Genomic DNA, 24385 nt, shown 5'->3' on the forward strand with positions numbered 1-24385 from the left:
ACCAGGGCACAGCCAGCGGATCAGGCACATCTCACCCCTCGGACCAGTTCAGGTACAGATTAAATATACCGCCTTGAGAAATACCACTCACTGGGGCAAGGAAAAGCCAATGTACTCTGTTCAACTTAAATAAATATTTGATATAGATACAGGTTGGGCATCTCAAATCTGTAAATCCAAAACTGGAAATATTCCAAAATCTCAATGTTTTTGAGCATCAACAGGACACTCAAAGGAAACACTCAATGGAGCATTTCTGATGGCAGATTTTCCAATTAGGGATGCTCAACTGGTAGGTATAGTGCAAATATTCTAAAACCTGAAAAAAATATGAAATCCAAAACACATCTGATCCCAAGCATTTCAGAAGAGATATTCAACCTGTGCTAAACACCATGGACGTACTTTGTTAAAGGACCTTAATTAAGCAACCCTGTATTTCAGAAGACCTGCAACCAGAAGCCCCAGAGCATCTCAAGCCACAGTGTGAGAACAGCAGGTATTTCATAAACATTGCTGCAGGATGACATAGTAACATGCCCACAATAGCTCCAGTGCTCTGACCTTCCTTCCTCAGGGCAACTCAACCCACTGTTCACAGTAAGCTTCCATCCCTGCTGGCAACAGGTATTTCTTTATAACAACACAACAATGGCCTAACACACCCTGCAAACTGGGTGCCAACAGAACAATGAAATTGACCAAATAGCAACGGGGGGAAAGAGTCCTGGGATCCGAATAAGCCACAAACTGGATATTGGGCTCTGGATCCTGGAGAGCTACCCTCTGGCCAGAAACCAAAATGGGCTTGGCTCATTCCTGGTAAATATTCCAACCACACTAGGTGCCGAGCACCTGAGAGAGCAAGGGGAAGGGAGCCAGGTGAGAGCCACAAGCTGTACCAAGTTCCTGACATCAGGACCTCTGAAGGGCTCGGCCAGGAAACCAAAGGACTCAGAGCAGGGCTTCTGGCTCCCCAAAAACCACCACCAGGCCAGAAAAACATACTGTTCTCAGGACTGGAGGGCATGTTTTTCTATACCACTTGATTGCAGTATAACTTACAGACAATAAGAGTCACCCGTTTTCAGTGTACAATCAGTGATTTTTAGTAAATCTGCCAACTTGTGCAACCATCACCCTGGAGGGGATATTTAATATCTCCCAAACCTGAAGACGATTATGGTTCAGTCAGTTTTACGAGGAATGTGAAAAAAGAAGTTGATATCTACTTGTTGCTGCCAATTCAGCAACACGAAGGGAGCTCAGAGCAGGCAGAAAGCTGAGGAGGTCACAGCTATCTTGCCTCTGCCTGAAAAGCATTCATCTGGGCTTGGCTGGAGGACCTGGAAACTTAAACAATTTTTTTTTAAGTAACTCTTGTTGAGAATAGTGCTTCTCAAACTAAAATGAAGAACCCGTTCATCTGTCCATGTTTTCCCGGCACCCCTCCTTCCACAGTGTCGGAAGGGTACTACTGCACAAATCTCTCTTCACCATGACAGATCTTAGCACCACAGCCAAGGCATCAAACACGTTTCAGTTAAATCCTCAAACAGGCATTGTCCCTTCCTCCTGACAGCTGGGTGCTTTCAAAAATACTGTACAAAATGACAGGCTGTGAGTCCCAAACCCAAACATTTTCTAAATCACTGATCAAAGAAATAAAATAAAATTTATGAAAAAAAATGTTTTGACTTGGAAAACATAAACGCACAGGCATTTTAAGTGATGGTATCCATGGGACTGTAAGGTCTTACTGATGTCTTTCATCTTGACCTTGATGCTGGTCAAAGCTCTCAATTTTTCTTCATCAGTAGAACATGAGCAAAGATGCAATGAAAGGACAGTGGAATCAACAAAGCAGAACTGGTTAGAAGACTAAAGGTCTACAACTTCCCGATATACAATCCAACTTCCCTGAGTCCATTTCACCATCCTCAACCTTGGCATTCCAGGACGTCTGTGCCCTCCCAACAACAGCCTGGCTTGGAAAAGGAATATCCCAGGGGAGAAGCGTGAATCTGTAGAGTAACCGAAAAGCAAACCTGGTGGAGAACAAAGGATTATATAGCTGAACTCTCCTGCCCTGGTTTCTCTGTGCATGCTCCTCCGGCTTTTTATGCCACTTTCTAAGTAAAGAGGATGCTCAGGGCTCTGTCCTTGGCCCTCTTTCTATTTTGTTCTAGCACCATCTTTGTAACTGTCCCCTGGACATCTCCATCAGAATATGCCAGGGCATACATATTCTGCTCCAACTCAGGTTACTCAAAATAGAACCCCATCTTCCTTCCCAAACTTATGTCTCTCCCTGAATCTCAATTCTAGTAAAACTGCCATCTACCTAAGTCAGAACTCCAGGTGTTGGCCTCCACACCGCTCCTACTTCCCACTGCAAAAGGCCGGAGGCGTGGGCGTGCAGGCAACTGTACCATGCTAAGCATGGTGGGGAGGCAGCACAGTGCAGGGTATATTCGCATTTGCTCTTCCTAAATTCCTCGCCCATTTATTCCTTCCTTTCTAACGTCACTGCATTGGACTTCATTATCTCTACCTGGACCCTTGCAATAGTCTCTTAAATGTAGACCCTTCTTCAAGGTAATTTTGGTTTATTTTCTTATTGTGTTAAGATATATATAACATAAAAGTTGTTTTTAACCATTTTTAATTGTACAATTCAGTGGTATTAAATCCATTCACAATGTTGCACAACCATCGCCACTGTCTATCTCCAGAACTTTTTTGTCATCCGCAACAGAAACTCTGTACCCATTAAACACTGGCTCCCCATTTCCCCTTCCTCAGCCCATGGTTGTCACCATTCTACTCTGGCTCTATGAATCTGTCTATTCCAGGTACCTCATATAAGTAGAATCATGTATTTGTCTCTCTGTGTCTGGCTTATTTCACTTAGTATAAGGGCTTCAAGGTTCATCCACATTGTAACATATACCATGACCTCATTCATTTTTATGGCTGAATAATAATTCCATTGTAGTCCACATTGCATTTAGTTTCTCCATTCACCCATCAATGGACAACTGGGCTGTTTCTACCTTCTGACTACTGTGCACAATGCTGCCATAAACATGGGGACACAAATACACCCTGCTCAAGTGTGCAATTCCCATACTATGTTTCTTCCAAAGTGATCTTTCTAAACAAATCTACTTAAGCCACCCCCTTGCTTACACTTTGAAAGACACCATTTCTCTACCAGGCTAACCTTGGGGCTGCAGGTCCTGCTTCACCTCCACCCTCATCACCTTAACCTCCCAACACCCCTGTACTCAGCCCCCGACATCTGCCTGCTGCTCCAGGAACACCCATGTTCTTTCCAGCACAGTTTCTTTTCACAGCCTAGAACACACTTTCCCCACCCGTGCACACACTTCTCTGAACCTCTGCTTGTCCTCTGAGCTGCTTCAGTCTTCTCTGAACTAAGGCAGATGACAAATATGAACCTCCTCATCCATCGGGGCTTTAGGGCCACATCTCCAAGCCCTTCTCAGAACAACTTTGCCCTTCCCTTCTTCCTACACCCAGATCTTACCTCTGTTCTCCAAGCACCTCCCACCAGGTGCTGGGCTCCTACAAGACAGCAAGTGGCTCTGCGTCTGGTTTCTATTCCCAGCATTTAGCAGCGCCAGAACCACAACACACACTCAGATCTTTGGGGAGTGAATTAAAGGTTTGGCTTCTGACTGTATACTCTGAGCACTCGAGATAAATTGGGTTTTATTTACATGTGTCTTGCCATACTTTACTATATGCAGCATAGCGTGGTGGACACATTCACCCACTGCAGGAACGCTACCTGATGCGAGGAATAGTACTGTTAGAAACACCTGTCCGTGGGCCGGGCGCGGTGGCTCATGCCTGTAATCCCAGCACTTTGGGAGGCCGAGGCGGGCGCATCACGAGGTCAGGAGATCGAGACCATCCTGGCTAACACGGTGAAACCCCGCCTCTACTAAAAATACAAAAAATTAGCGGGGCGTGGTGGCGGGCATCTGTAGTCCCAGCTACTCAGGAGGCTGAGGCAGGAGAATGGCGTGAACCCGGGAGGCGGAGCTTGCAGTGAGCCAAGATTGCACCACTGCACACCAGCCTGGGCGAAACAGCAAGACTCCGTCTCAAAAAAAAAGAAAGAAAGAAAGAAAGAAAGAAACACCTGTCTGCATGCGTCTTCATGTAGTGTATGAGATATATCTAGTGTGGTGAACACATTCACTCACTGAGATAAGACTACTGTGATTCACATGTGCAAGGAGCACTTAAGAAACATAAAGCCAACTTTACGTAATGCAGTACATGCACCACGCTTTGGTGGACACATTCACTCCTTGAAATAACACTGCCCTGATACGATGAACAACCAGAACACTTAGATGTTTCATACCGTGGCTTTATATATTGTGTTACATGCCCCATAGGGGGGTGACCATAATCACTGTAATGACACAACCCTGATGTGACAAATGACTGGCACCCTTAGAACTTTTTTTTCTTAAGACGGAGTCTCACTCTGTCACCCAGGCTGGAGTGCAGTGTCGTGATCTCCGCTCACTGCAAGCTCCACCTCCCGGGTTCACGCCTTTCTCCTGCCTCAGCCTCCCAAGTAGCTGGGACTACAGGCGCCCGCCACCACGCCTGGCTAATTTTTGTATTTTTAGTAGAGATGGGGTTTCACTGTGTTAGCCAGGATGGTCTCGAACTCCTGACCTTGTGATCTGCCCGCCTCGGCCTCCCAAAGTGCTGGGATTACAAGCATGAGCCACGGTGCCCGGCCCTTTTTTTTTTTTTTCCTTTTTTAAAGAAAGAGTCTCCCTCTGTCTGCCAGGCTGGAGTGTAGTGATGCCATCATAGCTCACCGTAACCTCAAACTCCTGGGTCAAACAATTCCCCCTACCTCAGCCTCCCAAGTAGATGGAACTACAGATGTGCACCACCACGCCTGGCTAATTTTTTTTTTTTTTTTTTTTAGAGGCAAAGTCTAGTTCTGTTGCACAGGCTAATCTCAAACTCCTGGCTTCAAGCAATCCTCCTGTCCTGGTCTCTCCAAGTGCTAGGATTAAGAGGCATGAGCCACCATGCCCAGCCTCCAATATTTTGTTTTTAAAACCATGTGTAAGTTGGGTTATTTAACTTCCAATTCCTGAAAAAAGACCGATAAGTAACAACATTTTTTCCAAAGGCTCCCCTCTGTAAACAGGCCTGAAACCCATCTGTGCTCTATTTCATTTTTCTTTCTTTCCTTTTCTTTTCTTTTTTTTTTTTTTTTTTTGACAGGGTCTTGCTCTGTTGCCCAGGTTGGAGTGCAGTGGCGCTATCTCGGCTCACTGCTACCTCCGCCTCCCGGGTTCATGCCATTCTCCTGCCTCAGCCTCTTGAGTAGCTGGGACTACAGATGCCCGCCACCACGCCTGGCTAATTTTTTGTATTTTTAGTAGAGACAGGGTTTCACCTGATGCCCAGGCTGGTCTCGAACTCCTGACCTCAGGTGATCCACCCGCCTTGGCCTCCCAAAGTGCTGGGATTACAGGCGTGAGCCACTGCGCCCGGCCTCTATGCTCCATTTCAGAAGGAATAAACCTCTTTAAAGCAAAAGGGCTATGTGTAACCAAGAAAACTCTCATATCTGGAATGTAGAAAAATTCTGTATAAACCAATACGGAAAAAAACAGACACCAAAGGAAAAACGGGCAGAAGATTTGATCAGGCATATCACAAAAGAGGACACTCAAATCACCAAGGCATGTGAACAGGTGTTTAACATATTAGTCACAGGAAGTCCATCAAAACCATAATGAGATCCTATCACCCATCAGAATAACTAAAATTAAAGACTGACAATGCCACGAGTAGGCAACGATAGGGAACAACTGGAACTCTCAGACAATGCGCGTGGTGAACTCGTACAACCACTATGGAAAATTGTTCAGCAGTGGTTCTTGAAGCTACATACACATCTACCCTAAAACTCAGCAATTCCATTCTTGGGGATACATCCAACAGAGATGAATGTCTTATGTTAGCCAAAAGACAAGTAAAAGAATGCTCATTGCAGCTTTATTCATAATACTCAAAAATTGGAAACATTCAAATGACCAACAGCAGCAAAATGATAAGCTGCAGTTACAGTCACACAATGGAATACCACACAGCAGGAAAGAGGAATGAACTACTGCAACATCCAGCCACACCGATGAAACTCACAGATTAGTGCTGGGCAAGAGAGGGCAGACACAGGACAGAAAATACTGCACGACTCCATGTACACAAAGACAAGAACAAAGTTTATGTCTATGGTGCAGAAGTCGGCTCAGACAGTGGCTACCTGGGCAGGGCTGGGACTTGGGACCCTGATCTGGACAGTGGTGCTGTGTCAACTTGGTTAAGCTGGGAACTGTCTCCCAGGGCCCCCAGTTAGAGTCTGAGTTAGAATTGGCCACGCCAGGAAGTTCCGTAAAGCTTGGAAGGTGAACTGAAGCAGTGGCCATGAGGTGAAGGGCAGAGACACGGGCACCTGGAGGTTCCAGCCTGCCCCACTCTCCACACTGCGGCCAGCTCCTCTTCCTCACGCTGGCCCTGCTGGCCAATCACAGGCCCCAGGCCTGCCACCGGTCACTGGGCCGGGGACCCAACTGGACAGCAGCTTCCCAGAGGCAGCGCCTCCCAACGCCCCCTCCTCCGGTGGCTCCACCTCCGCAACAGACCGGGTTCCGGGCATCCCTGTGAGCTCGGGCCTGTCCAACCACACCAGTGCTTCAGGCGACCAGTGAGTGACCCCTCTCTGACATCCCCACCATCTGGACCCCCACACCCCCTGGTCCCCCAACTTGTGGAGAGTCTAATTCTTGCAATAAGTCCCTTATCCCTAACTCCCCTGACTAAACCCTGCTGGGTACACACAGATGTTCACATATATAAAAATTCAAGTTGCACACTCAAGCTTTGTGCACTTTATAAAATGTATGTTATACCACCATTTGGAAAAAAACTAAAAACAAAAGCCCCACAAGGGTATCGCATAAGTGGTCTGAGAAAACAGTGATCTGAGGGACCCAGCAGCCTGTGAATGGAATCTGCACCAGGCTTCACATACTAAGGAAGAACCACACACCACTGCTTGGCATCAGATCTGGCAGACAGCTGGGAGCCCAACGGGGTGTGGCTTCTGACCAGGACCAGGGTTGTGTGCTATATAAATAGCCAACAGGACACATGCTCCCTCCCTGGCAAACTACCAGCAAGCTACCAACTCCGTGGAACCAGGTCCAGAGTGACTTGTCCCTTCTGAAGGGACAGACTGACAGAATTCAATGTGCACCCTGAATGCAAGCTGAGTCTGGCATCCCCAAATGGGCAGAAAGGGACATGTGGAGGAAGGGCAGGGATGAGTCACAGATCCAGCCTGTGGCATTTAGAACCTGCACCAGCAGTGTTCTCAGATACCCTTCTCAGATGTGCACGCAGCTTTGCATGAGAAGATACCAATGAGGTGTGCACCTGAGCATCCCCACAGCAGCTGTGTGTCAGGCAGAGACCCATGTGTCTTGCCACCTTTCACTTCATTTGGCACATTATTTATTGAGTGCACAGTATATGTCAAGATCCGTGCTTGCAATTAAACTTACAGTGGTGAATGGAAACACAGTGCCTGCCCTTGGGGAGCTTACCGTCTAGTGGAAAATACAGACAATAAACAAGTAAGCAAGGAAGCACATAATTACAACCTATGGGTGCTAGAAAGGATATGCACAGGTGATGGTGACTTAGAATAGTAGGAGAGGCCCAACATTCAAATTCAGAAAATACAGAGAACACCACAAAGATACTCCTTGAGAAGAGCAACCCCAAGACACATAATTGGCAGATTCACCAAGGTTGAAATGAAGGAAAAAGTGTTAAGGGCAGCCAGAGAGAAAGGTCGAGTTACCCACAAAGGGAAGGCCATCAGACTAACGCGGATCTCTGGGCAGAAACCCTACAAGCCAGAAGAGAGTAGGGGCCAATATTCAACATTCTTAAAGAAAAGAATTTTCAACCCAGAATTTCATATCTAGCCAAACTAAGCTTCATAAGTGAAGGAGAAATAAAATCCTTTACAGACGAGCAAATGCTGAGAGATTTTGTTACCACCAGGCCTGCCTTACAAGAGCTCCTGAAGGAAGCACTAAACATGGAAAGAAATGATCAGTACCAACCAATGCAAAAACATGCCAAATTGTAAAGACTATCAATGCTATGAAGAAACTGCTTCAATTAATGGGCAAAATAACCAGCGAACATCATAATGACAGGATCGAATTCACACATAACAATATTAACCTTAAATGTAAATGGGCTAAATGCTCCAATTAAAAGACACAGACTGGCAAATTGAATAGAGTCAAGACCCATCAGTGTGCTGTATTCAGGAGACTCATGTACAAAGATGCACATAGGCTGAAGATAAAGGGATGGAGGAAGATCTACCAAGCAAATGGAAAACAAAAAAAAGCAGAGGTTGCAATCCTAGTCTCTGATAAAACAGACTTTAAACCAACAAAGATCAAAAGAGACAAAGAAGGCCATTACATAATGGTAAAGGGATCAATTCAACAAGAAGAGTTAACTATCCTAAATATACATGCACCCAATACAGGAGCACCCAGATTCATAAAGCAAGTCCCTAGAGACCTACAAAGAGACTTAGAATCCCACACAATAATAATGGGAGACTTTAACACCCCACTGTCAATATTAGACAGATCAACGAGACAGAAGGTTAACCAGGATATCCAGGACCTGAACTCGGCTCTGCACCAAGCAGACCTAATAGACATCTACAGAACTCTCCACCCCAAATCAACAGAATATACATTCTTGTCAGCACCACATCGCACTTATTCTAAAACTGACCACATAATTGGAAGTAAAGCACTCCTCAGCAAATGTAAAAGAACAGAAATCACAACAAACTGTCTCTCAGACAACAGTGCAATCAAATTATAACTCAGGATTAAGAAACTCACTCAAAACCACACAACTACATGGAAACTGAACAACCTGCTCTTGAATGACTACTGGCTACATAACAAAATGAAAGCAGAAATAAAGATGTTCTTTGAAACCAATGAGAACAAAGACACAAGGTACCAGAATCTCTGGGACACATTTAAAGCAGAGTGTAGAGGGAAATTTATAGCACTAAATGCCCACAAGAGAAAGCAGGAAAGATCTAAAATCGACACCCTAACATCACAATTAAAAGAACTAGAGAAGCAAGAGCAAACACATTCAAAAGCTAGCAGAAGGCAAGAAATAACTAAGATCAGGGCAGAACTGAAAGAGATTACAGACACAAAGAAACCCTTCAAAAAAATCAATGAATCCAAGAACTGGTTTTTTGAAACGATCAACAAAATTGATAGAGCACTAGCAAGATTAATAAAGAAGAAAAGAGAGAAGAATCAAACAGACACAATAAAAAATGATAAAGGGAATATCACCACCGATCCCACGGAAATACAAACTATCATCAGAGAATACTATAAACACTTCTATGCATAAACTAGAAAATCTAGAAGAAATGGATAAATTCCTGGACACATACACTCTCTCAAGACTAAACCAGGAAGAAGTTGAATCTCTGAATAGACCAATAACAGTCTCTGAAATTCAGGCAGTAATTAACAGCCTAGCAACCAAAAAAAGTCCAGGACCAGATGGATTCACAGCCGAATTCTACCAGAGGTACAAAGAGGAACTGGTACCATTCCTTCTGAAACTATTCCAATCAACAGAAAAAGAGGGAATCCTCCCTAACTCATCCTGATACCAAAGCCTGGCAGAGACACAACAACAACAAAAAAGAATTTTAGACCAATATCCCTGATGAACATCAATGCGAAAATCCTCAATAAAATACTGGCAAACCAAATCCAGCAGCACATCAAAAAGTTTATCCACCATGATCAAGTCAGCTTCATTCCTAGGATGCAAGGCTGGTTCAACATATGCAAATCAATAAACGTAATCCATCACATAAACAGAACCAAAGACAAAAACCACAGGATTATCTCAATAGGTGCAGAAAAATCCTTTGACAAAATGCAACAGCCCTTCATGCTAAAAACTCTCAATAAACTAGGTATTGATGGAACTTATCTGAAAATAATAAGAGTTATTTATGACAAACCCACAGCCAATATCATACTGAATGGGCAAAAACTGGAAGCATTCCCTTTGAAAACCAGCACAAGACAAGGATGCCCTCTCTCACCACTCCTATTCAACACAGTGTTGGAAGTTCTGGACAGGGCAATCAGGCAAGAGAAAGAAATAAAGGGTATTCAATTAGGAAAAGAGGAAGTCAAATTGTCCCCGTTTGCAGATGACATGATTGTATATTTAGAAAACCCCACTGTTTCAGCCCCAAATCTCCTTAAGCTGATAAGCAACTTCAGCAAAGTCTCAGGATACAAAATCAATGTGCAAAAATCACAAGCATTCTTATACACCAATAATAGACAAACCGAGAGCCAAATCATGAGTGAATTCCCATTCACAATTGCTACAAAGAGATTAAAATACCTAGGAATCCAACTTACAAGGGATGTGAAGGACCTCTTCAAGGAGAACTACAAACCACTGCTCAATGAAATAAAAGAGGACACAAACAAATGGAAGAATATTCCATGCTCATGGATAGGAAGAATCAATATCATGAAAATTAATGCCATCCCCATCAAGCTACGAATGACTTTCTTCACAGAATTGGAAAAAACTACTTTAAAGTTCATATGGAACCAAAAAAGAGCCCGCATTGCCAAGACAATCCTAAGCAAAAAAAACAAAGCTGGAGGGATCACGCTATCTGACTTCAAACTATACTACAAGGCTACAGTAACCAAAACAACATGATACTGGTACCAAAACAGAGATATAGACCAATGGAACAGAAAAGAGGCCTCAGAAATAATGCCACACATCTACAACCATCTGATCTTTGACAAACCTGACAAAAACAAGAAATGGGGAAAGGATTCCCTATTTAATAAATGGTGCTGGGAAAACTGGCTAGCCATATGCAGAAAGCTGAAACTAGATCCCTTCCTTACACCTTATACAAAAATTAATTCAAGATGGATTACAGACTTAAATGTTAGACCTAAAATCATAAAAATCCTAGAAGAAAACCTAGGCAATATCATTCAGGACACAGGCATGGGCAAGGACTTAATGAGTAAAACACCAAAAGCAATGGCAACAAAAGCCAAAATAGACAAATGGAATCTAATTAAACTAAAGAGCTTCTGCACAGGAAAAGAAACTACCATCAGAGTGAACAGGCAACCTACAGAATGGGAGAAAATTTTTGCAATCTACCCATCTGACAAAGGGCTAATATCCAGAATTTACAAAGAACTCAAACAAATTTACAAGAAAAAAATAACCTCATCAAAAAGTGGGCAAAGAATATGAACAGACACTTCTCAAAAGAAAACATCTATGCAGCCAACAGACACATGAAAAAATGCTCATCGTCACTGGTCATCAGAGAAATGCAAATCAAAACCACAATAAGATACCATCTCATGCCAGTTAGAATGGCAATCATTAAAAAGTCAGGAAACAATAGATGCTGGAGAGGATGTGGAGAAATAGGAACGCTTTTACACTGTTGGTGGGAGTGTAAATTGATTCAACCATTGTGGAAGACAGTGTGGCAATTCCTCAAGGATCTAGAGCTAGAATTACCATTTGACCCAGCAATCCCATTACTGGGTATATACCCAAAAGATTATAAATCATGCTACTATAAAGACACATGCACACGCATGTTTATTGCGGCACTATTCACAATAGCAAAGACTTGGAACCAACCCAAATGTCCATCAATTATAGACTGGATTAAGAAAATGTGGCACACATACACCACGGAATACTATGCAGCCATAAAAAGGATGAATTCATGTCCTTTGCAGGGACATGGATGAAGCTGGAAACCATCATTCTCAGCAAACTATCACAAGTACAGAAAACCAAACACTGCACGTTCTCACTCATAGGTGGGAACTGAACAATGAGACCACTTGGACACAGGGCGGGGAACACCACACACCAGGGCCTGTCGTGGGGTAGGGGACTAGGGGAGGGATAGCATTAGGAGAAACACCTAATGTAAATGATGAGTTGATGGGTGCAGCAAACCAACATGGCACGTGTATACCTACGTATCAAACCTGCATGTTGTGCACATGTACCCTAGAACTTAAAGTATAATTAAAAAAAAAAAAAAGAAACTTTCTGAGATAACAGAAAGAGTTTATATCTTGATTATGGAGATTATGTGAATATATATTCATCTGTCAATGCCCACCTAAAGGCTTAAAAATATCTGTGGATTATTTTGCATGAAAATTATACCTCAATTAAAAAATTCTCTAGAATTGAAAGTCATTATTGTAAAAAGAAATTACCATTAAACCAATAAATTAACAAAAACAAACAAACAAAAAATAGTAGGAGAGGCCCTAAGTCAGAGAAGCTTTTCTGAGTAACTTAAAGCAGAGGTGTGCAGGACAAGAGGGAACAGCACGTGCTTGGTCTTGACTCCTTTGGTAGGTCTCCTCTCTGATGCCACCTTCCTCTGCAAGAGCACAGTGATGACTACGCACGTGTCCCCAACCCCACTACGTATGTAGGTAGCACTTCATGCTTCTCCAAGTACTTCCATGCAGATTATCCCACTTACAACTCGTAGTTCCATGAGTCTGGAAGGCTGATGCTGATGTCTCTTCTTGACAGATACAGAAACAGAAGTCAAGAGAGATGAAATAACATCCTGAGTCGCACAGCAAGCTACCAATGGCACTTGCTTAAATGGTAAATTACCTGCTTTATCTCTTTTGGCTTCTTTCCATCATTACTACTTTTAAGTATGCCAAAGAAATACTCCCTAACTGTTCTACCACAGGTCCTTCTGAGGACCCATCAATTCTCCAAGGATGTTATTTTAAATTGGACAAGGCCAAAGTCTAGCTTTCCCCCCGATCTACTTCAGTCCCATACTTATTTAACAAAAAAGATGGGCCGGGCGTGGTGGCTCACACCTGTAATCCCGGCACTTTGGGAGGCCAAGGTGGGCAGATCACCTGAGGTCAGGAGTTCAAGACCAGCCTGACCAACATGGAGAAACGCCGTCTCTACTAAAAATACAAAATTAGCCAGGCGTGGTGGCGCATCCCCGTAATCCTAGCTACTCAGGAGGCTGAGGCAGACGAATCGCTGGAACCCAGGAGGCAGAGGTTGCGGTGAGCCAAGATCACGCCATTGTACTCCAGCCTGGGAAAGAAGAGTGAAACTCCGTCTCAAAATAATAATTAACAATAATAAAAAAGATGGATTGCTATCAAAAACAGATTGCTAACTTCACCATACCTCAAACTAACCTCTATCATGACACCTGGAAAGTTTAATTATTCTCTCATAACCAGTTTACGTGATTGTCTCCCCAGATTCATGAGTTCCTGGGAGTGAGGACCATGTCTCATCTTTTCAGCATTAAAGCAGTCAAGATATGAATGAAGCCAACAAATTACTTGCAAGAGTGCACATATTCTCTTCACCTTCTGGCAAACAGTTATATTTCAAGGTCAGATGTCAAGCTCAGTACAAGACTTTACAAACATCCCTTTCTTGCAAGGAGGAGGCATGAGAGGTCTGTCGGCCGTGTCTTGCTGATTATAGTATCTATCTTTATTTATTAAATTTTTTTAAAGTGTCAAGCATGGTACTGGGCACTTCACAGAAATATTTTCACTTCATCTTCACAACAATCCAGTAAGAACTCATGATTCTCACTGCACAGATGAGAAAACTCAGGATAACAGGGTAATTAAGTTGGCCAGCTAATAAGCAGAGGATGACAACATTCAAACTCAAGAGCGCCTCACTTTAAAGCCGTAATTATTCCACTTCCCCACAAAGAACTCACAGGTGTCAAGAATGAAATACAAACTAATACCTCCATAGGGGGACCAGAGCAACCAACCGGGAGGGAAGTAGGTTTGAATTCAGATCACTCAATAGCTGGACATACGGCCAAGCTCAGCAGGGTTCAGCCATGAACACAGCTCCACAGGTAATACAGATTTGGTAGGGGTGGGCTGCCTTTTCCCTACGCTGCTGTGTTACCAATGCTCCTCCTTACGAACGGAGGAGGCTGTATTAGGCCGCTGGGATTCTGTGCATTCCTGAGCTTAAACTTGGCAGACCACTGTGCTGCACTTTGATACCAAGCACAATTCTGGACAACAGATTTGGGTGTTGAAATGAATGAGGAGTGCCTTGGTCTAAGCTGATGCTTTGATACCCAGAGTCTTAAAGGACTAAACGGAAGCGTGGCAGAGGGTGAGGCCACTGCTCACTTGTGAAAGTCAGCCCACCCTCCTCCACACCAGTGCTCCTGGCTCAAGCTGACATCTCAAGGTCATTCAGCACGTGCAGCAAAAACCATCTGGGTAACACGTGGTGAAGGTGAAGCACACATCTACACAGGCATTACAGCTCATGATCTGCGTGAGTCTCAGGCTCTTGCTCCCACCCCTGGCTACCATGTACAGTATACAAACTCCCAGTAAAGGGGTGTTGTGGTTGGAATGTTTGTTCCTTTTGAAATTCATGTAGAAATTTCATCTCCAATGTGGCAGTATGGAGAGGTGGAGCCTTCAGGAAGTCATTGGGATTAATGACTAATCCATTCATGGATTAATGAGTTAGTGGATTAATGGGTTATCATGGGAGTGGGACTGGTGTCTTCAGAAGAGGAGAAAGTGACTTAAGTTGGCACATTCAGCTCCCTTGCCATGTGATCAGCCCTGCACGGCCTGCAGAGTCCCCACCAGCAAAAAGGCCCTCCCCTGACACCGCCCCTCAACCTTGGACTTCCCAGCCTCCATAACTGTTAAGAACAAATTTCACTTCTTTATAAATCACTCAGTTTCAGGCATTCTGTTACAAGCAACAGAAAACAGACCAAGACAAAGTGGGTCAGGGAACAGGGCCTGAGATTCAGCCGGCACCCAACTCAGCAAGTCACACACCAGCTGAGGACCAGTGCCACAAAGAAGAAGGGCTGCACCTCCTGCCCTCTCACAAAGGTGCTGCAGGGGCAAGTAGCAGCCACGTATCCCTGCCATCCCCCTAGGAGGCCAAACTCCAGAGGCAGGGCGGGAAGCCTGGGAGACTGGGCTGAATTCTGGATAGTGAATTTGGCCACATGAAGGGCTCTGACTCAACCCTCTATACCTTATGAAGAACAGACCTGCCTCTCTCTGCAATTCTGTTAAGATGGCATCAATGATTTCCAAAGGAGCTAGACAAACACTTTTTTCCACATGTAGAAATGAAAAGCCCTCCCTAGCTGGAGAGTGACTGGGAAACCAGGCTCCTATCTTCCTATCTTTACATTAAATTAGAGCAACTGCCCTCCTCTACAGCAAATAGTCTCAGTCACTTCTGCCTACCTAACGCCAAAAAGAGCTACTCTACGCAAGACACCATGGAAACTTGGATAACCAATTTAAAAGACATCGGGACCAGCAACACTACTGCACACTAATGACCTGAGCCCTTTTCCGCAGGCACAGAAGTATGTACATACTGTATTTACTGAAGATACTAATAATCCCCTAGAGTCAAAGCACCACAGCCGGCAGTCCTGTACCACTCCTAGGCCAGCCAGAACATGCCTTCAGATCACCAGAGAAGGCCCCTGGACTTCATCCCTCTGAAGTTAAGGACAAAAGCTGAGGCAAGGAAATGCCACCATCTGATTATTTTCAATGTATCAATCAATTGTCATTTTACTATCTGCCCTTTCAGGGCCAGTTGGATACAACTTCCAAAATAAGACTTCTTATGGTGAAAAGTATTTGTGAGTCAGCCTATAAAGAGAACTGATCCTGCCAGGTGCGGTGGCATGCACCTGTAGCCCCAGCTACTCAGGGGGCTGAGGTGGGAGGATTGCTTGAGCCCAGGGGATCAATGCTGCAGTGAGCTATGATCGCACCATTGCACTCCAGCCTGGGTGACATAGTGTGACTCTGTCTGAAGAAGGAAGGAAGGAGGAGGAGGAAGAAGGAAAAAGAAGGAATAAGAAAACTGATTCTGATGAAGGCTGTTAAACCCATACATCACAACTTTATCAAACCAAACCCAAAGATGAAAGGGAACAGTGAAGGACTAGTTCCATGAAATAGTCTAGTGGCAGAATACAGGGAAGAATATGACAACTTTGACAGTAAAAGAATAAAAAATAAGCTCATTACAAGGAAAGAGGCAAAGGTAGGGTAAATCCAAGAATATATCATAAAAACAAAAGCAATGGCAGCCAGAGAGAGGATCAGAAAGGGAAACCAGGCAGAAGAGGCAGTCAAAATCAGGCAGAGAATACTCAAGCAGTTAAAGAACCTTTTCCAGATCTGTGGACTAATTTCTCAAAGGAAAGGCTATAAGCCCTACCTCACAGGACAGGCCAGCATCAAATAGCTCAAGAGGTATTTAATCAGGGTAGGATGATTTACACAAAACAAGCCAAATGCCATGTAAACTCCTGTGATATCAGAGCCCTGGGTAGAATTATAAGCCCATCCACTCCTCCCCAACCTACCCACTAAAGAAAGCACCAGACACCCAGTTATGCCTAGGCCACGGGATGAACCCACTAAAGAAAGCATGAGATGCTCAGTTATGCCTAGGCCACGGGATGAATGGGCCAAGCAGAGTACTGCTTCCACTCCGTCTCAAACACAGCAGGTGCTTCATCCACACCAGCTGGACCCCACCGTTCACCTGCTCTCTTCGTCTCATAACAAGTCTTCACTCAGAACTGCTCCACATCATTTTTCTCAGCCTGCATTTGCCCTAAGAGACTCAAAAGACCCCTGCCCAAAGAGATTCCATCATTAGAGAAGTGAACTATGTCAACACCGGCACCGATGTCAGCCAAGTTGAAAACTAGTCATTATGGGGTGGAGATGATGGCTGTCAATCAGTGGATAATGATGATGGCAGGTGTGATCTTGAGCACATCCCCATTCTCAGCTTCTCTGGAAGAAAAGTGTCTGGGGCTTGGAGAGAGGCCAATGGATTATGAGGACTTGCAGGAGACCCTGCCACTGGGTTCTTCCCAGGAGACAAGGGGTCCCCTGCAAAGACGGAAGTCAAAAGACGGAAAGTAGAAACAGGTTGAGCTTCAAATGCTACACCAGAGCAACAGCTGTCATTGTTCATAAAATTCAGGCAGTTCTCAATTTGAGAAGTAACTGCCACATGCTTTCCATATGCCACTCTTGGGATACAGGAACTGAGAAGCGAAGAAGAAAAATGTATTTTTACTATACTGTGAGGTTAGCTGTTTGGTTGACCTTCACAGGGTATACATAAAGCTCATTAGAATCACTGACGAACTTTAAAACTACACCAATGTTCAGGCCCCATCCAGACCCATCCAATCAGAATCTGTGATGGCCTGGGGCAGGCGTGGTCAATCGCTCCCTCCCACCCCCATTCTAAAGTGCCTCCAGGGCCCAGGAGGGGGAAAGCAGAAGGAAGGCCTGGGGCTGCAGCACAGGCAGCGGAACAGGCAGAGGTTCACCCACCTTCAAGCGGGCCTTCTCCCTTACCTGCACGTCAACCACCTGTGTGGCAAATTCCTCCGACCCCTAGCCTTAAGACAACAACAAGGAGAGGCGCCCAGCCACAGCACTCAAGGAAACGACTTGCCTAATCTCGGAGCGTGTCTGTTTTGTTCAGGAAAATGTGAACCAGCTGTAACATTCTGTCTCTCCAGAGGTGCAGCCACACCGCAACATGGCTAAAGATAGCCCGGTGATTGTATGCTTGCAGGGAGGCACAGAATTAAGCACAGCCAAGTGGGCGAAGGCAGTCCATGCACCAAGTGACCGTGGCTGTCCAGCCAGCTGTAGAGTTTCCTCTCACCCAACAAATCAAAGCCCAGGGTGCTCCAGAAGGTAAATGGAGCCCAGCCCCACCAAGAACAGCTCTGTGGGTTGGGAGGGAGGCTTATCCAGTCCTCTGCCTGGTACCACCTCCTGTCAGACATGCCTCACCTCCTCCACTTAGCGGAGTGGTGTGGCTTTAACAGCCAAGCTTTCTAGAAACAGCTGTGAAGGTCTGTGCAGATCCATGGGCATGAAGTGGCAATGATCATATGTAAAATCTAAGGAGAGTGGCTTTCAGACGCTCAGAGACCTCACCGAGTCTGAAGACAGTCGCCAGCAGATCCCTGATGAAAAGGGAGCTTCCTGTAGGGGACTGCTGTAGGGCCACTGCGGAAGCCCTCTGAGGGAGCCTGGCCTCACACTAGGCTTCCAGAGTGTCTGAACAGCTATAGATGACAAGCACCTAGAGATGCCCGTGACGCTGCTGGGCAGCACCAGGTGAGCCAGGCCCGCAGTTCAACCAGGGCAGTCCCAGAGGGCTCCAGCTTGATGGGTGCTGCCCTAAGAGACTTGGGCCAGGCCTGCTCTGCCGAATTCCCAGCTGCACGACCGTCCTCTCTACAGCACAGCAGACCCAGCAAGGTCCAAGGTGAAAGCAGATCTCATTGAGTAGCTTCTGCCCTCAGGCCCTTCAGAACACAGGCGATGCTGAACTCACACAACACAGCCACTGCTACAGAACTACAGTTCACCTCTATGATGGACACATGCTGACAGCAGGAAGAATTCCCAAGCTCTGCAAAGGAACCGAGTGACATTCTTCTGATTATTTTTTATTTCCCTGAAATCAACTCCTCTTCCTACTCTTTCTTGGGCCAGAAGAAATTTCTTTGAAATTGTATCTATCCTTCTTTTTTTTCTTTAAAATGGAGTCTCGCTCTGTCACCCGGGCTTGAGTGCAATGGCGCGATTTCAGCTCACTGCAACCTCTGCCTCCAGGGTTCAAGCAATTCTCCTGACTCCGCCTCCCGAGTAGCTGGGATTACAGGCAACTGCCATCATGCCTGCCTAATTTGTTATATTTTTAGTAGAGACGGGGTTTCACCATGTTGGCCAGGCTGGCCTCGAACTCCTGACCTCAGGTGATCCACCCACCTCAGCCTCCCAAAGTGCTGGGATTACAGGCATGAGCCACCGCACCCTGAGCTGCATCTATCCTTCTCTTAACAGAGAAGATTAAAGCAGACAGGCAAAATATCTCCAGTGAAAAAAGTATTGTTGCTCTCGTGAAAAACAAAGGCTTTTTCCTGATGTGAGAAGCCCTCCTTACTCAAGGTGCCCAAGGCTGCGCTTTATGAATAGATCAGGCGATGTGCAGCCATGGCTCTGCTCCCACCTTTCCCATCTTGTTTGATAGCGTAAACTGGAGGAAACAAAAGAGCAATAATAGCTTTGCTGTCTGCTGTTTTGGGACCTGTCCCATAGAGAAAACAATCAGTTTGAGCTTTATGCCATGACATCATCAGCCACCAATCAGCACAGAGAAGGTGGAGCAGGTTTTGTCTGTGAAACCAACCACTGCAATTGTTAAATTGGAAAAGGCAGTGCAGGTGAGAGATGGAGTTTTTCTTTTACCTTTTTCTACATCAAACTATAGAAGAGAGTGAGAAGCAGAGGACAAAAACCTTTCTATGGAAAAAAACAGGCACCCCAGGGATGCACCTGCACTCCTGCCCCTCTCCACCTCCCACCCCTGCCAACACTGACAGTGGAAGCCTCTGTCCCATCTGCCCAGTGCTCCCCGCCAAGGACAGAGTCAGGGCCTTAGGAAAGCTGTTTTTGGTACCTGAGTGCATGTGTGTGTGTGTTTTCAAACAGGGTTCCACTCCAGTGGAGAGAGAGAAAAAGACTTTGGTTGACATGGACATCAGTTAAAACCTCTATCCAGAAACTAACTAACCAGTGTTTACTTGTGCGTCATAGCTAGAGGTTCTCGGGACTTCATTATTTTCAGCCACTTTCCTCCCAGAAAACACTGGCCATCTCATGAATGAAGCTGTTTAGCCAAGGTTAGAATATGCAAGGAGAGAGGGGGTGGCAGTAGGAGAGGGCGCAGGGTTCCAGGAGAGCAGGGGGTGAAGGAGAATGCTCACAGAGCAAATATTGTTTACAACTGCAGAGCCAAGCTAATGTGATCTCCCGCCTGTTCAAGCATATTATTACATTAAGTCCCGAACAATGAAGTCGGAGGCAGGGAGAGCAGAGCCGACCCAGCCTCCGCTTTGCTAATGGCACAAGGGCAACATTCCATGCAAAGTTTCGGTGTGCAGGCCTCCTGAGAACCCAGCAGTGCCAGGCAGCAGTGAGCACACGCACCCACTGACGATAGGACTGTGGGGACAGGCAGGTGTCAAGAGAAGGGCACTACACCCTTTCACGTGCCGCTCCAGGGGAAAGCAGGTGGGAGAAACCGCATTTTTAACTGAAAATAGGGTACAACTGGACATGTTAAGAGAAGCACAGGCTGCTGGGTCCTCCAACAGCTATCTGAGGGTGGAGCAGGCCACGGCAGCAGATGGGAGAAGAGGCTGAGGCGGAGCAGGGTTCTCCCCACAGTTCCTGGGGACCGCTGTACTATTCACTTCCAGGAACATCACTGCACACCTCTGAGATCATCAAACTTACTAGAAATAATAAATATACTATCAAATGCCACTAAATATGAAGTTCGCACTCAGGCACTGGGGGACCTTTTTTTTTTTTTTTTTCAACAGTATGACCAGGTGTAAAATTAAGATCAAGCCAATAAATATAGGGTCTAATACCTCAGGCTGGACTCAGTCTATACCTATTAGGGCTGAGTGCTGTCAACTCCAACTCTCCCTGACCCCCAGGAAAAAAGCCTCAAGTCCTCTCTCACACACCATTTCAGCCTTTACCTTTCTCCATAAGGAAGCCCCCAATCCCCATATTTCTTTCCCCATTTCAGCCTAGCCGGTGGTGGTGTAAAACGACTGCCAGCCGAGGGCCTGCGTCTCCTTCACCCTCGTCCACTAATGCACATGAAAATCTAAATTAATAGGGCACCTTGGGCGCTGGCCCAGAGAGAAAGCAGGGTCCTTGGCCAGCTCCCTGCACACGCGCTGCCAACATCCGCTGTGGGCTCTGAGCACCCCTGCACAGGCCCTGTGGGAGTAGGAGAGGCACCTCAAAGAAAAACAACCCGAAACAAAGGCACCAGCCAGGAAGACCTTCACCCATTCACATTCCCGGGTGTCCCCAAGTAAAACAGCAGGATTCACATGAGGACCTGGGTTCTTCTCCCTGAGATGTGGAGAGCAAGGGGTAACACGCGCCCTACTGCCCAGGGAGGGGAGGGGCTCAGTAAAGGCAGCGGGCCCCTCTCCACACAGCCCCCATACGCCCCAATTCCACCAGGCACCTCCCTCCCCCACCCAGAATGCCTTCCAGTCTAGCCTCCCACATCAAAGACTACAGCCAAAGCTTCTCTTCTGCCCAGAGAGCAGAGAAAGAAGGGATGAGGGAGAGAAGAGGCTGTATTTAGCAGGAAGACTGAGACAAAAGGGATGAGGTGGGTCACACAGGCCAAGCCCCACAGGAGCATGTTCACTCGGTGGCGGAAGGGCCATAGAAACTGAAGGGCCCAGCTGCTCTCTCAGCTTACAGGGAGGGGCAGACACAGGCCCAGAGGGATCCGAAAGCAATCACCTTATCAAGTTATTCAAAATCCAGATTGAAAGTCAGGACCGGAAATCCTCGCTAGTAACAACAGGGTATTAAGTGGAGGAGAGTGTGGCAAGCAGGTACAGATGACAAAGCAGGCAGCATCTCAAGTCCTTGGCTGGGTATTCCTGGGAGTCCCCTGTGGCTGTCTCAGGGAACAGAGACAGGATGCTCTTGACAGTTTTAACCGGAGCAGCTCTACCTGACCAGGAGGCCAGAGAAGACTGCACTTTCCCTGGCTTCGGGGGTGGGCAGGCACCCCTACTTCCGAAAAGAACAAAAAGAGAACAAAAGCTGCCTCATACCTTGTGGACCATATCAGAGCAGCCAGCACAGCTTGCATTCTCACACTCTGCCTGCAACCAGGACACCGCCTGTGTGAAACAACGACCCACATGTGTATTCACTGCACACACACGGCCCCGGAGAGTTCTTTCATTTAGTGTAGGGAACTAACTTATAAATGGGACACATCTTTGTATGTGCAAAAGATCCCTCAGGCGAGCCTCTGTGAGAACACCCACCTGCAGCCCCGGAATGTCTCAGCACATGCGACACTGAGTCATCTTAGCGCCACACACATGCAGACAGAGGCACTGCACACACATGTGGACACATCCCCAAAGTACCAGGGGACACAAATCCAAAACCACCAGGTGATTGGGGAAAGTTCCTCTTATGTGGAAGATAGAGGAAAAGCCAATGGCTAATGTGATGTTTAAGTGAGGGCTGATCTATTTTCCCCTTCTCTGCTCCAAAGCCATTCTACTCCAAGTGTGCACATCACAGGAGGACCTGAGGGAGTGGTGGGCAAGTTCCTACAAGCTGCCTATTTTTAACCTCTGGTCTTTCCTGCCCTCTTCCCTGGGGAACACCCCTCCCTCTGCTCTCCAGCAAAGGGCCCAGCTGAACCACATGATACCCCTTCCAAGCCGGAAGATGGGTGGGGAGGGCCCTGCTATCGCCTCTCCATACTTCAGATTTCAAAGAGTATGGACTGAGGAATTTGGACAAAAAGTGGGAGGGAAGAAATTGTTTAAATCACAAAGAAAGGAGGAGTGAGACTTCAGAAGAGAAACGCAGCACATCAAATATCTGCTGTCCATCTAAGATCAGAGCCGGGCTGCAAGGCCACATGGCTGGATTGGCCCCCTCTCCCCACTTCGTTCTCCCAGGCCAGCCTACAGCCGCTGCACGCGTTCATCTTGCAGCCTGGGCCCTGCCAGCAAGACTGTGCCCGCCAAGACAGCCTCTACACACCCAGAGGACAGTGGGCCCCCCAGCATGGCCAAACTGCCAATGAGACAATGTTTTCCCTTCATGAAGAGGTAACTGGGACAAGGAAATCCCTTAAGGAAAGAGGAAAAGACCTCGGTGTCTGCCTTGCTCCAAACTCCAATTTGCAGTCCAGCTTTCTCTCACCTTCACCGTGTTCTGTGCGCACCACTGAGATAGAATTACCAACATGAACTGAACAGTGAATTCTGCTCATTCTGGTTTTGCATCAACCTATCATTGTAAAATCAAAGTATGAAAGAAAAGATGCCTCAATCCCCTCAAGATCAAATTTTTATCTTATTTTTATTTGCTCTGTTGTCCAGGCTGGAGTGCAGTGGTGCCATCATAGCTCACTGTTAACCTCCAACTTCTGAGCTCAAGTGATCCTCCCACGTCAGCCTCCCGAGTAGCTGGGACCACAGGCGATGGTGTGCACCACCACACCCGGCTGATATTTTCTTAAATTTTTTGTAGAGATGGCATCTTGCTATGTCACCCAGGTGAAACTTCCTGGGCTCAAGTGATTCTCCCACTTCAGCCTCCCAATGTGCTGGGATTAAAGGTAATGAGCTACTGTATCTGGCCTAACTTAACAATGCTCATCTTCAAACCGCTTCAAATACAGTTATGAATTCATCCACACATACCGTGTCTCCTACCAGACAGACATTATGTGTTTAATAGCAAAAGTTTAAAAAAAAAAAACCCACAAAACTGCCAGTACAGATCCAGGATACCAACTCTAAGGTACTGGGTTCTCAAGCCTCTGCTCCTGTAAAGCAAGGCACGAGAGCTTGAAAGCTCCAGAGCTGATCTACCAGATGCCTGTGTCATCCACCTCCCTCCCATCCCTGCCACTGGAAAAGAAATCACACTGCAGTCTGGCAAGTCCCCACTCCCACTGCCTGCCCTGCTCCGGCGTGGCCTTACTCCCTCCACAGCAATCTGCAAGTGCCCCCGCAGGAGGATGCGCAAGAGCTGGGGAGGATGTTTCCACAGTGCCGCCACAATCTTGCTGGCTCTCCAGCTGGAATCCCAAGAGCTCCCAGAACGGTCACTTTGGTGGACTCCACCTCTTGGTAGCTTGTTTTGTGCAGCATGGATACCGGGGGGCCATGATGGTGTCCCGAGGCGGGGTGTGCCAAGGTGGCAGTGCTCTCCCTGCCCAGCTCCTGCTCCTCCCCTCCCCAGTCCTCACATACCAGCTGCAGAGCATTTGACACCAGGCATCCACAAGACACAGACCCTGCTCCTCAGAATCTTGGGCTCATCGTGGAAATCAAGGAACAATACAGGGGAAGACAGAATATGAGTCTCAGAAAGTTGTCTATTTTGTCCCTTTTAAAAACAAGATTTCTCATACCTGCAGTCCTAGTACTTTGGGAGGCTGAGGCTGGTGGATCTCA

At 46.3% G+C, this 24385-nt stretch overlaps 1 protein-coding gene across 1 annotated transcript in view, besides 1 other annotated feature; it reads right to left on the reverse strand.

Annotated features, from left to right (window-relative positions):
- The window catches only part of MICAL3 (microtubule associated monooxygenase, calponin and LIM domain containing 3), a 236913-nt gene that overhangs the window by 136652 nt on the left and 75876 nt on the right, over nucleotides 1–24385 (reverse strand). The window lies entirely within an intron of this gene.
- Nucleotides 17459–18234: an enhancer, noted in NCBI's record as "H3K27ac-H3K4me1 hESC enhancer chr22:18424525-18425300 (GRCh37/hg19 assembly coordinates)". NCBI's record gives its function as "activates a minimal SCP1, AML or CMV promoter by ChIP-STARR-seq in primed H9 embryonic stem cells {active_cell/tissue: H9 hESC(primed)}" and the evidence as "EXISTENCE:reporter gene assay evidence [ECO:0000049][PMID:30033119]".

Source organism: Homo sapiens, chromosome 22, assembly GCF_000001405.40.
Source record: "Homo sapiens chromosome 22, GRCh38.p14 Primary Assembly".
NCBI lineage: Eukaryota > Metazoa > Chordata > Mammalia > Primates > Hominidae > Homo > Homo sapiens.